We start from the raw sequence: 13,088 nt of genomic DNA on the forward strand, positions 1-13,088 counted from the left end.
TTTTCAGGATGAGGCGGAGCATAAGAACACCTCCCTGTGTCTTCCTCTCCCTCCCTTATGGCACAGTGTCCCTCACTCTAGGGCATTTTCCCAGAACGATCTTCAGTCTGGGAAAAAGGTTCACATGGGAGATGGTCCAAGTTTGTAAGTTGCAGTAGGAGGCCTGTGTGGGGCGCACGCTCATGAGGCACGTTCTCAAATCCCTGGAAGTAAGTGTAGAGTGCCAAGAATCGGTGTCACAGCTTGGAAAGTCAAGAAACCGAACGCGCTATCCCAAAATGTGGGCCTGGCTGAAGTGATCAGCCCTCCTCTACGGTCCTTTATGAGTCACCAAGGATTCCCACACCCCTCATTAGCAAGGAGCACAGGGGGACACAGCAATGGTCCCTACAAGATGTCCCTCAGCCAAGTACCCGTCAGAGGCAGGCGGTGGCCTCAGCTTGGCCCCTCTGGTACAGCAATTCCAGATGGTTAGGAGTCCAGCCACAGCTGAGGGAAGTCCACTCATCCCCGATGGGTGGCTCAGCCTCCTCCCAGTGACACCTCTAGCTCATTATCTCCACCACTTAATTTTCACTAATCATGAGCACTCACTTGCAGTCACACCGCCAGTTTTGGGGTGAGGACGGACGCCTAGGCACCAGCACCAGGGCCTGTCAGCATCCAAATGCCCAAGTGCCTGCCTGGCTGCCAAGAGCCTGCAACGCACACCGCCGATTGCATGTGAATGCAACTCCAAGATAAGATGCCAAACTTCCACCACCTTGTCACTCTTGGAGCTGGGGCTTCTGACTCATGGCCAGGGTCACTCTGGGGCCAGGTGTCACTAGGATGGACCTACTGCCCCAGGGCTCCAGCTCCAATCTTCACAGGCCTCCTCTGCCCTCCTTCCCCTGTGCCCATCCTGCAGTGACCCTTCAGGAAAGGTCTGGAACAGCCCAAGGCTCCCTCCGACTGCTGCTGGGGAGCCCCTTAGGGCCTAACGAAGGGCATGTCAAATATTAGGAGGACTCTCCACGTGGGGGACCACTTCAGGTGCACCCCTCCAGGAAGCTTAGCTGCCTCCCATCAGCCTGCCCCCCGTTCAACCTGGCCTCTAACCTCAGACACCCCAGAACTGTAGAGTGCTTGGTTTAATATACTAGTTCTCACCTTTTCTTTATGAATTTCAGCTAAAACACCAACCACCACAAACTGAGCAACCAGTCCCCAGTTCACCTCAGGTGCTGGGGAGGTGTTGGGGATAAGGGTGGGACGTTTGCTTGGAGGCCTTGACTTTCCTGCAGGTGGACTGGGGCTTCAGGTGTGGGGCTGGGCATGCCGCCACCAGGTGTGTTTCCTTGGTGATGGGTACCAGGTGACTGGTGCCTGCTGCTGCCCTGTGTGGCTTGGATCCTCTGGGCCAGGCCAGCTTCCCCAAAAGCCGGTGCCCTGCCCCATTTTGCCCTGGGCCTGCACCTCACTGGAGGAGGAGGGGCACTGGGGCAGTTTGAAGGGGAACGGGGCTGTCCCTGGCCTTCAGAGCAGCCTGGCAGGAGGATGAGTTCCTCTGCCCACTTCTGAGGAAGGAGAAGCAGAGAAAGCACTTTCATTCTGCCCACAGCCCCAGGCCTCCCCGAGCCTCAGGCTCCTCTGGGCCATTTCCAATTGCACCTTTCCAGGACTTTCCTGATGTCTCCCTCCTCAGTGCTCTGAGGCCTGTGTGGTCTGTGGCCCTTTGTGCCCAATTGTCAAGGCTGCTCTCCAAGGCCGCAGGCCCTGAGGACAGGGACTGGGCTCCACATACCTTGAGGCCCTGCCAGTACCCACCCTGTTGCCAGGTGCCTCCCACCGGTGAGGCCAGCCAGCGTGATGATGGGTGGGGCTGGGCAGGCAGAGCTCAGACCAGACTTCAGTTCCGACCCCTTACCATGCCAGCTGGGGCTCTGGGGCAGGTGGCTTTTCTGCCCAGAGCCTCAGTGTGTCCTTCTGGACAAGTGGGGACTGATGCGGACAAATGCAGACCATCTTCCTCTCACTCCTTGAGGAGGAGGCTTAGGAAGGCCCTACAAGCAAGCAATGGCCCAGAGTGCATCAGAGCTAGAGGTCCGCCTGGGGCAGGGCAGGGTTGGCTCCCACTGCGGGCTGTGCAGTAGACGGCTGCCACCTCCCTCCTGCCACAAGCGGAACCCTGCCTGGGGCCCTGAGGGTTTTTAGAGGTTTCTGAGCACAAGTTGTGCCAAGGAATCAGCAGGTTCCTTCCAGCTCGCAGAGAGCATGTGGTGTGTGTGCATGTGAGCATGTGCACGTATGTGCACGCTTCTTCATGTACGCAGTGAGAGGAGATGGGGTGTTGTCTGGCTGTCTAGGTGGGGAGGAAGTAGAGCATGCCAGAGCCCAGACCATGCTCACATGAACCCAAAACTTGGTTTCAGGTAGCTTGTCCCTGGCTCAGAAAGGCTTTGAGAGGCAGGACCTAAGGACACCAGGAGGTGAGAGGACACGCAGGAAAGGGAGTGTGGGATGGAGGGAAGGACATTAATGACAGGTGTCAGCAGGGGTGGGGAGAGGGACAGAGAGGCCCTGCCATGGGCACTAAGGAGTCCAGCTGGGGGCAGAAATGCCGGGAGGGGGCCATGTGGTGGGAGCAGGAGCCGAGGGCTGGCCGACTCGCCATGGGGCCCCAGAGCTTCTGCTCCTGGGCTGGCAGGGGAGGAAGCACCTACCTGTACCACGGTGGGTGGGTGCTGAAGACCTGGAGTCATAGATGGCAGGGTCCTGCACCTGGAGAGTCATCCAGTGCCCCCTCGGTGCCTGGGCCCGGAGCCCACCGCGCCTGCAGCACCAAGGGCCATTCTGAGGATCTGAAAGGAGAGGTCAGACCCTGAGCCCCAGCGTAGATTCAAGGAGGCCTCGGGAAGCTGCGAAGAAGCCAAACTCCCCGGAGTGGAGGTCTGAGGAAGCCAGGACACTGTGCAGAAAAAAGGGCCTAGGATGGAGGCAACCAGCATGGGCCAGCTGGGGCTGGGGTGGCACAAGGCAGGGCGCAGGTGGGAGCAGTATGTGTGGGAAGCAGACAGAGACCGGCCCCAGGGTCCTGCGGGACAAAGAACTTGAAAGACAGAGCAGGGACCCCAGGCAGAGCCCAAGCCCTGACTGGAGAGGCCAGTTTTGGGGGTGTGGCAATGGTTGGAGGGAGAGAGCTGGGCATTGGAGGCAAAGGCCAGAGGGCAGGTCAGGATGGTAACTGGGATGGCCCTGGAGCCCAGGGGCATGGAGGGACTCCAGAGGTGGCAGGCAGGTAGTCAGCCTGCTCCATGACTACCAGCTGGCCTAGGCGCCTCCCTCCTGGTCCCTGCTAGTGCCTGCTCTGTCCTGTCCTGCCCTGCTTCCTTCCTTGCTGGAAGAGCAGGAAGGCCTCCAGCTCGTTGGGTCAGGACCCAACTTATGAAATGAAGTCCCTGAGCAGACGGTGGGGCATGGGAGCTAAGAAGAGAGCAGTGCTGTAGGAGCGGGGTGTGGGTGACAGAGGTGGGGCTTGGGAGTGGCTCAGGGTCTGGTTAAGCCATGTGAGCAAAAGAGGCTGCTGCCCATGGATCAATCCTGAGCAGGGTTGGGAGGAAAGGGGATGAGGAAGGAGGAGGCTGGAGACAGGGAGTGCTGGGGATGGGAGAGCTGGTGGGGTCCGGGAGACAGAGTGGGAGGGGAGGATGAGGAGAGGAAGATGCGGTAGGGGAGGGGCTACCAGTCCAGGGTCGGGGGGGAGGTGCCCTGCAAGAAGGTGGGGGACAGAGGGACAACCTGAATAGGAGAGGGGTATCCAGGGAAGACGGTGGCCAAGTGGAGACAGAGAAGGTGCCAGGCAGGGGAATGATGGGAAGGTGCTAGGTAGGGGAAGGAGGGAGAGGATGCCAGGCAGGGGAAGGAGGGAAGGTGCCAGACAGGGGGAGTAGGAAGCAGAGCATGCCAGGCAGGAGCAGGTTGAGAAAGTGCTCGGCAGGGGGGAGGTGACAGGCAATGGGAGGAGGTGGTGCCAGACAGGGGGAGGAGGGGAAGGTGCCAGGCAGGAGGGTGCCAGACGAGGGAAGGAGGGGAGATGCAGGTGGAGGGAGGATAGGAAGGTACTGGAGAGGGAAGGAGGGGAAGATGCCAGGCAGCGATGGGGAGGAGGTGGTGTCACAGAGGGGCTGAATGGGAGTCTGCCAGTCAGGGAAGAGGTGCAAGGAAGGGGTAGGAGGAAGAGGTACGAGGTTGGGGTGGGGGTGGAGGGAGGTGCCAGGCGGGGGGACGGAAAGAGTCAGGAGTGGGGGGAGATACCTGGAAAGGAGGAGGGGAGGAAGATGCCAGGAAGGGAGAAGGGGATGCCAGGTAGGGAGGAGGGGAAGTGCCAGGTGAGGAGAAGGTGCCAGGCAGGAGAAGGAGGGGGGATGCCTGGCAGTGGGAGAAGGGAAGCCAGGCAGGGGGAGGAGGGGGAAGCCAGGCAGGGGGAGAAGGGATGCCAGGCAGGGAGGAGAAGGGATGCCAGGCAGGGGGAGGAGGGGGATGCCAGGCAGGGGGGAGGAGGAGGAGGAGGATGCCAACAGAGGCGAGCAGAGACTGCCAGGCAGGGAAGGCGGGGGCGCCGGCGCAGCGCGGCCGGGAGGCGCCTTCGCCAAGGGCCGTGGGGGCCGCGCGGCGCGGGTCGCTCACCTGCTCCCCCGGGACCCCGGCCCGGAGCGCGGCCGCCCGCTCCCTGCTCGGCGCTCGGCTCGGCCCGGCGCCTGCGCCGCTGCAGCCCGGAGCGGGGGAGGCGCAGGGAGCGTCTGCAAAGAGCGAGGAGCTTAATAATGAGTTAGGGACCGGAGCAGGAAGCGTCGCCCCATCCAGCCGTCGGTGTGCTCGCCAGCTCGGAGGCCCTCGGCGGGCCCTGGCCAGACCCGTTGTGATCTTCAGCCTGTACACAGATGTGTCGTAGGCCTGTGCTTGCATCTGCACGCCCACGAGTCACACACGCAGTCAGCATCCTGTGTGGCCGCAGACATCACCTACACTAGGACCACACACGCGCATGCACGTGGGCGCGCACACACAGGCACACAAACGGTTGTCCTCACACAGATTCAGTCAGATCATCCTATGTGGCTGCAGACATTACCTAGACGAGGTCCCGGACACCCATGTGCACCCCCCACCCCCTCAAAACGCACATACCCTGGGAGGCTTTGGGTCCATCAAGCCTCAGGGCCATGTTCTCACTAATGCCAATCTCCTCCTTTTATGTACTCAATACTTAAATTTGGCAGCTTGGAGAAGCCTATTCCCAGCTTCCAGCCAGACAAGCCCAGCTCTGGCCATCTCATGGGCTCTTCCAGGGCCCCGCCTCACACGGCTGAGCTACCACAGTGCCCAGCACAGAGGGGGACCCCAGCCTACCTGCAGAGTGAAGGAGCCCTAGAGAGCTCAGGCAACGGCGGGGGAAGTGGGAGCACCTCCCTAAGCAGCCAGCGGGCAGGGAGCCTGCCAAGCATTTGGGGCCAGGTGGGCCTCGTAGGCCCCCAGTAGGAGGCAGGCAGGCAGCAGGGACCCATGGTCTGAGGCTGAGGTCAAGGTCAGGTCCTTCTCCCTCAGGTTCCCGTCTCTGCCCCTGCCGATATCCAGCCTCTCCCCCAGGCCAGGTCACACCTTCAACACTAGGGGTATTTTGGGGTCTGGGCTCTGCACTGCCTGGGTTTGTCTCTGTTATGGGCAGGCCCAAGGCAGAGACAGAGCTTTTCCACCCCTTCCCTTTCTGGTATCTTCCTATCCTCCCTTCATCTGAAAATATTTCTGTTTTATTCTTTTAATTTTTTTTTTTTGAGATGAAGTCTTGCTCTCGTCCCCCAGGCTGGAATGCGATGGCGCGATCTCGGCTCACTGCAACCTCTGCCTCCTGGGTTCAAGAGATTCTCTTGCCTCAGCCTCCCAAGTAGCTGGGATTACGGGCACCTGCCACCATGCCTGGCTAATTTTTGTATTTTTAGTAGAGACGGGGTTTCACCATGTTGGCTAGGCTGGTCTCGAACTCCTGACCTCAGGTGATCTGCCCGCCTCGACCTCCCAAAGTGCTGGGATTACAGGTGTGAACCACCACACCCGGCATGTTTTAAATTTTTAATTGTGATAAAATAAACATAATGTAAAATTTACCATCTTAGCCATTTTGCAGCGTATGTTAGGTTTTGTAAAGTATTTCACATTGTTGTGCAACCAGTCTCCAGAACTCTTTCCATCATCCCAAACTGGAGCTCTGTATCCATCTAACAACAACTCCCCCTTCCCCCTTCCTGTCCCCTGGCAACCACATTCTACTTTCTGTCCATAAATTTGACTACTCCATGTACCTCATATAATGCCTTTGTGGCTGGCTTATTTCACTTCACACAATGTCTTCAAGGTTCATCCACGTTGTAACACGAGTCAGGATTTTCTTCCTTTTTAAGGCCGAAATGTATTCCACTGTGTGTATACACCCCTGTTGTTGTTATTGTATTAGAGATGGGATCTTACTCTGTCGCCCATGCTGGAGTGCAGTGGCACGATCTAGGCTCACTGCAGCCTTGGACTCCTGGGCTAAAGCAATCCTCTAGCCTCAGCCTCCTAAGTAGTGGGACTACAGGTGCACACCACCACACCAGGCTAGTTTTTGTATTTTTTGTAGTGATGGGCTTTCGCCATGTTGCCAAGTCTGGTCTCGAACTCTTGAGCTCAGGCGATCCACCCAGCTCGGCCTCCCGAAGTGCTGGGTTTACAGGCTGGAGCCACTGCACCGTTGTTTATCCATTCATTTACTGTGGGACACTTGGGATGCTTCCATCATCTGGCTGTTGCGATTTGTGCTTTTACTCCCCTTTTAAAACACGCTGACATCAAACAGGAGGGAAACTGACCCTGGCTTGGCCCAAGGAAGACGTTCTCAGCCTTCCCACGCCCCTTCCCCCGCGCCTGTGTTCCTACCTTCAGGACCCTTACCCCAGGCACTCTTACACCTCTGGCTACTCAAAGGACCCGCTATGGACATTTTAACCACATTTGCTTACTTAATGCCCTTCATCAAAACTGATTCTTCTACCCGTTTTCATGAAGGGGCCTGAGTCCATGGTAAGGAGGAGTCCCTGCTGTCCTTCCTGGGGACATTTCCCTTTGAACGAGGGGTTTTTGGAGGTGCAGTGTCTTATAACCCCAGGAAACAAACCTGGAGGCAGTGCTTGGACAGCAGGTGTGGCAGGGAAGGGAGAGGTGGGGTGGGTATTTTGAGTGGGGAGAGCATTGTCCAGTGAACTGGGAGAGGCTGAGAGCTTCTGAATGGTGGGTTTTGGTGCAGCTTGAAAGGCTTCCTGGGACCCAGACCCTGGTGCCCGGAGGTCAGCGCTGGCTTCACTCCCTTGGGCCGAGGATAACCTGTGTATAGGCAGTGTCTGCCCTCTCCCCACCATCTGAATGGCCTTAATGCTGCCTTCCCCTCCCACTGTCACCAGCTATTAACTTCACAGAATAAGGGTGGAAAAGCCCTTCCAATGAGACAGGTAGTTAGTTTCAAAAGTGAGGAGGGCAGTGAGGTGGCAGGGTCCTGTCATAGGGATTGGCAGAGCGGGCCCAGAGGGAGAGCAGGCAGCCAAGACACAGTGGGGAGTCGATGGGCACAGACAACATCAGACAGACAGGCCTGGCCCGGGTGGTGCAGGGCAGAGCAGCCAGATGGGCATTCGGTCCCCTCTGACCCTGGCCCCACACCCCATAGCCTCCCTTTCTCCTCCTTGGCCCTGAGAGCCTGGACTGGGGATAAGGTTATCAAGGATAAGTCTGTGCCTCCCCAGGTGTCAGGGGAGGGACATAAATTTAGGGCGGCAGGTCTATCCCAGCACTCAAACCTGATTTCTAAATATCTCTTTCCTCATTTATCTCTCCCTCTGAGCTGTGCCTCTGTGAGGACAGGACTGGGGCCCATCAGCCTGAACACTCTAGGGCCTAGCACAGTGCCTGGCACGGAGTAAGAGGAAGATCACAAGCCGTGGTGGGTGCAGGTGGGAGTCCTGGGAGGGTGGGGTGCTTTGGGGACCAGGGAGACCAGGCAGGGGTTAGACTGGGCTATAGGGTTAGGGGTCACGTTCAGGCATTCAGTCATTCAGTCATTCGTGAGCGTCCGAGGCTGCTCACTGCAGCACGGCTTGTATAGTAAGAATTCAGAAATGGCCTGCATGGTCATCAACAGGTGACAGATGACATAAATCCTGTGACAGCTGTAAATGGTGACAGGATAAATTTATCATTCAATGAATGCTATCAGACAATGGGGAAACTGTCCATATACTGATCTTAGAAGGATCCCAAAGATCTGTCAAATGAGAAAAAGCAAGATGTGCAAACAGTACATAAAGCATGCTTCCACATGTGAGTGTGCGAGCATGTGCTGTGTGAACATGTGCATGCACACGTGTGAGTGTGTGCACATGTGGTGTGTGTACACTCCTCCAGAAAAATGCAGAAGAAACTGGCCAGAGTGGTTGCCTCCAGTGAGGCTGGAGGACTGGGTTGGGGGAAGACTGACTTTCCACTGTGTATTCTTTTGTACATTTTTGAATTTCAAATATTTCACCTATTCAAAAAATAACTAAACATTTACAAAAACCACTCGTATCATCATTTAGACTTTCAATATATTCTGAGCACCTGCTACATAAAATCAGACGCACAGCTATGTGCCTTTAACCATGAACCCACACGTGACCCTCTCTCTGCTCATTCTCTCATTCATTTTGCATTTTTCCTCTCAAACCTCTATTATCAACATGTGCCTCGGTAATAGGGGTGAGGATGAATGAGATGCCACTTGACCTACGGGGGAATTAAGACTTCTAAACAACTGGCAACACCAGCTAGAAGGGGCTAGTGCCGTCACAGAGGCCAGGCCAAATGCCAGAGGAGAGATGGTAGAATGGGACATGCCAGGGGCTGGGGGAGGGGGGGTAACAGTGCAATGAGGACACCGAGCTTCAGTTTCACAGGATGAGGAGCATTCTGTGGGTAGATGGCAGTGGTGGCTGCACAGCACTGCGAATTTCTTCAGTGCCACTGATCTGTACACTTAGAACAGTGAAGATGGTAAATTGTATGTTATGTGTATTCTACCAAGTTTTACAAAAATAATAAGTGAAGGCTGGGCGCAGTGGTTCATGCCTGTAATCCCAGCACTGTGGGAGGCTGAGGCGGGCAGATCACCTGAGGTCAGGCGTTTGAAACCAGCCCGGCCAACATGGCGAAACCCTTCCTCTACTAAAAATACAAAAATTAGTGGGGCATGGTGGCACATGCCTGTAATCCCAGCCACTCGGGAGGCTGAGGCAGGACAATCACTTGAATCCGGGAGGTGGAGGTTGCGGTCAGCCATGTGCCACTGCACTCCAGCCTGGGCGACAGTGTAAGACTCCATCTCAAAGAAAAAAAAAAAAAGGGAAAACATGCTAGAAGGATGGAAAGAGTGTTTATTCACCCACCACCTGTTGGGCTCTGTGGCAAGTGTTTGATCTTCCAATGGCCCTGCAGGGTGGACATTATTATTCACATTTACAGACGACAGGACACAGAGCCCAGGGAGATCTGTGACATGTTTGCGGCCACATAACCAGAAAGTGGCAGAGCTGGGATTCAAATCCACATGTGTCAGACTTCTTCCCCCTCAACTGGCAGCCTCTGGGGAAGGGAGTGGGAGCTGGAGGGTGGGGACATTTCACAGAAGAGGCAGCCTTGGTGCTGAGTGTTGAGGGGCCGTTGAGTCACTACCGGTAGGCAAGAAGGGTAGGAGAGATCCTGTCTTGTGAGGAGCAGCCTGAGCTGCTGTCACGGGTGTGAACAGTGGGCAGTGTGCCTGTGGACCCACCAGCGTGTTGGGGTGGGAAACAAGGCCAGCAAGGGGCATGGCTGAGGCGGAGGCTCTGAGATGCTCACAGAGGTGTGGGCTTGTCCTGGGCCATGGGGCACCGGCAGGCAAAGCTCTTAACCTCTCTGGCTGGCTGCCATACCTCCTGGAGCTCTTGGGCCCGCTTCCGGAAGACTTTCAGCACCTCCCACTCTATTCCTGATGGTCCCTCAAATATCCCCACAGATCAGGTCAAAAATTCCAGAAAATTTTCTTGAGCCTAGGAGTTCGAGACTGCAGTGAGCTTTGATCATGCCACTGTACTCCAGGCTGGACAACAGAGCAAGACCCTATTTCTAAAAAAAAAAATAATAATAAGAAAAAATGTTCAGAAATTGCTCTGAGGTTAAATCAGATTTATTTTTGATTTAGTGTTTTTCTTTTCTTAAATAGTCCCCTCCCCAGTCATATAAGCTTACGGCCCCACAACCTGGACCTTCCCCTCCCTGGCTGAGCCAGATAGTAAACTATGAGTATTTTTTTTTCCTGGATCCCTTTTGTTTTCCCTGGAGTTAATGATCAGCTTTTTTTTTTAAAATAGACTTTATTTTTCAGAGCAGTTTTAGATTTACAGCAAAATTAAGCAGAAAGTACAGAGATTTCCATAAACCTTCTGCCGCCATATAGGCACAGCCTCCTCCACAATCATCATCTCCCATCAGACTGGCTGCCCACAGCTGTCATCCTGGAGTCTCCCTTCACCATAGCCTTGGGGATTCCGTTCACCTCTCTTCTGTTCATTTATTTATTTAGCAAATAAGTATTGAGTCCTCACTATATGCCCAGCATTGTTGTAGGCACTGGAATACAGCACTGAACAAAATGAACAAAAGTTTCTGCCCAGTCAGAACTTATAATCAAATGGGAGAAATAGACAACAGCCAAGAAAAATATGTGAGGTGTTCATTCCAGTCATGCAAGGCTGGTTCAATATTCAAAAATCAACCAATGTAATCTGCCATATTAACAGATGGAAGAAGGAAAATCACACCACATTGAGCAATGCAGGAAAAGCATTCAAAAAAATTCAGCAACTCTTTATGATAAAAAAAACTCTCAGAAAAATAGGAAAAGGGGGAAACTTCCTCATCATGATAAAGGGCATCTACAAAACACTTTGAGCTAATATCACACTTACCGGTGTGTGAAAGTTATCAGAATCAAAATGGAGTCATGTGTGTTAAAAACCCTGACAAACAGAGCCGGGTAAGGCCACTAAGGGAGACTTCTCACCCACAATGCCTGATAACAAGAACTATCACAAAAGACTGCAGAAACCACAACCTTGCACAAAGGCCATTGTAAACTTACACACACACAAATACTTCTGTGAGGACATCCACTTGCCAACTGCCTGTCCAATCTCAAATTGGGGCCACCCTTGTTATTGATTTTTGTAGCCAAGGATAATTATCTCAAAACAATTATGTTAATTCTCTTCATTTTTCCTTTAAAAACCTTACTCTTGCCGGGCGCGGTGGCTCACGCCTGTAATCCCAGCACTTTGGGAGGCCGAGGCAGGCAGATCACGAGGTCAGGAGGTCAAGACCATCCTGGCTAACACGGTGAAACCCTGTCTCTACTAAAAATACAAAAAATTAGCCTGGCATAGTGGCACGTGCCTGTAATCCCAGCTACTTGGGAGGCTGAGGCAGGAGAATGGCGAGAACCCAGAAGGTGGAGCTTGCAGTGAGCCGAGATCACGCCACTGCACTCCAGCCTGGGTGCAGAGCGAGACTCCGTCTCAAAACAAAACAAAACAGAACAAAAAAACCTTAGGCTTCCTTTGTTTCCCTGAATATGCACATAATTTGCTATTGCATGCATATTCCCATTGCAGTGCTCTATTCCCAAATAAATATCATTTTCTTTCAGCGAGTCTCCCTCTCTGTTTATTATCTAGGTTGACAAGTGAAAGACTGAATGCTTTCTCCCTAAAATCGAGGAAAGGCAAGGATGTCTACTTTCACCATGCTTCTTCAACATATTGCTGGAAGTTCTAGCCAGTGCAAGGCAAGAGAAGGAAATAAAAGTCATAGAGATAATAGAGAAGAAATAAAAGTGTCCCAATTTGCAGATGATATGATTGTCTACACAGAAAACACCAATAAGACTACAAAAAACCTCTAGAACTAATAAATAGGTTCAGCAAGACCACAAGATATAAAAGGATAAAGGAGTCCAAACACGGTGGTTCACACCTACAATCCCAGCACTTTGGGAGGCTGAGGCGGGAGGATCATCGGAGGTCGGGAGTTTGAGACCAACCTGGCCAATATGATGAAACCCCGTTTCTACTAAAAATACAAAAATTAGCTGGGCGTAGTGGCTGACGCCTGTAATCCCAGCCACTCGGGAGACTGAGGTACTAGAATCACTTGAAACTGGGAGGCGGAGGTTGCAGTGAGCCGAGATCGTGTCCCTGAACTCCAGCCTGGGTGATAGAGCGAGACTCTGTCTCCAAAAAAGTAAATCAATAAATAAAAATAAAAAATAAAATAAAAGGATAAAGGACACAAAATTATTATAATTATACTTCTGTATACTAACAATGACCAAGTAGATACTAAAATTGAAAATACACTATAATTGACAATTGTCTAATAAAGTGGAAATACTTAGTGCAAATCTAACAAAACACATACAGCACTTGCATGCTGAAAACTACACAACATTGGTAACAGAAGTCAAGGAAAACCTAAATAAATGGAGAGACATAGCAAGTTGATGGATTGGAAAATTCAACATAGTAAAGATGTCAATTCTCCCAAAATTGATATACAGGTTTAATTCAATTCCTATCAAAATCCCTGCAAGAGTTTTTGTAGATAAAGAGAATATTATTTTAAAATTTACATGGAAAGCAAAGGAACTAAAAATCCCAAGATATTTTAAAAACAGAAGAATAAAGTGGGAGGAATCACTCTACCCCATGTTAAGGCTTATTATATAGCTACAGTAATAAGACAATGTGGCATTAGCAAAGGGATGGACACACAGATCAATGGAACAGAAGAGAGAACCCAGAAATAGACCCATGCAAATAAGCCCAACTGACTTTTGACAAAGGTTCAAAGTAATTCAATAGAGGAAAGATAGCCTTTCGATAAATGGTGTTGAAACAGCCAGACATCCAAAGGCAAAAAAAAAAAAAAAAAAACTCCACCTAACCTTCACA

General features: G+C 52.7%; 1 protein-coding gene across 3 annotated transcripts in view, besides 2 other annotated features; it reads right to left on the reverse strand.

The window, feature by feature from the left end:
- The window catches only part of SMARCD3 (SWI/SNF related BAF chromatin remodeling complex subunit D3), a 38,370-nt gene extending 33,629 nt beyond the window's left edge, over window positions 1–4,741 (reverse strand). The window contains exons 1-2 of one of the 3 annotated variants that reach the window (NM_003078.4): window positions 4,669–4,741; window positions 2,706–2,843 (exon numbers count right to left, since the gene is read on the reverse strand). In NM_003078.4, the coding sequence (NP_003069.2) occupies window positions 2,706–2,744 (39 nt within the window). In that variant the 5' untranslated portion in view covers window positions 2,745–2,843; window positions 4,669–4,741. Of the gene's footprint in view, window positions 1–2,705; window positions 2,844–4,296; window positions 4,327–4,668 lie in introns of those variants that run through there. The other 2 variants (NM_001003802.2, XM_047420758.1) reach the window with 2 other exon arrangements.
- Window positions 2,262–3,061: an enhancer, noted in NCBI's record as "H3K4me1 hESC enhancer chr7:150971756-150972555 (GRCh37/hg19 assembly coordinates)". NCBI's record gives its function as "activates a minimal SCP1, AML or CMV promoter by ChIP-STARR-seq in naive H9 embryonic stem cells {active_cell/tissue: H9 hESC(naive)}" and the evidence as "EXISTENCE:reporter gene assay evidence [ECO:0000049][PMID:30033119]".
- Window positions 5,215–5,924: an enhancer, noted in NCBI's record as "H3K4me1 hESC enhancer chr7:150974709-150975418 (GRCh37/hg19 assembly coordinates)". NCBI's record gives its function as "activates a minimal SCP1, AML or CMV promoter by ChIP-STARR-seq in naive and primed H9 embryonic stem cells {active_cell/tissue: H9 hESC(naive and primed)}" and the evidence as "EXISTENCE:reporter gene assay evidence [ECO:0000049][PMID:30033119]".

This window comes from Homo sapiens, chromosome 7 (genome assembly GCF_000001405.40).
Source record: "Homo sapiens chromosome 7, GRCh38.p14 Primary Assembly".
NCBI classification, from domain to species: Eukaryota; Metazoa; Chordata; class Mammalia; order Primates; family Hominidae; genus Homo; species Homo sapiens.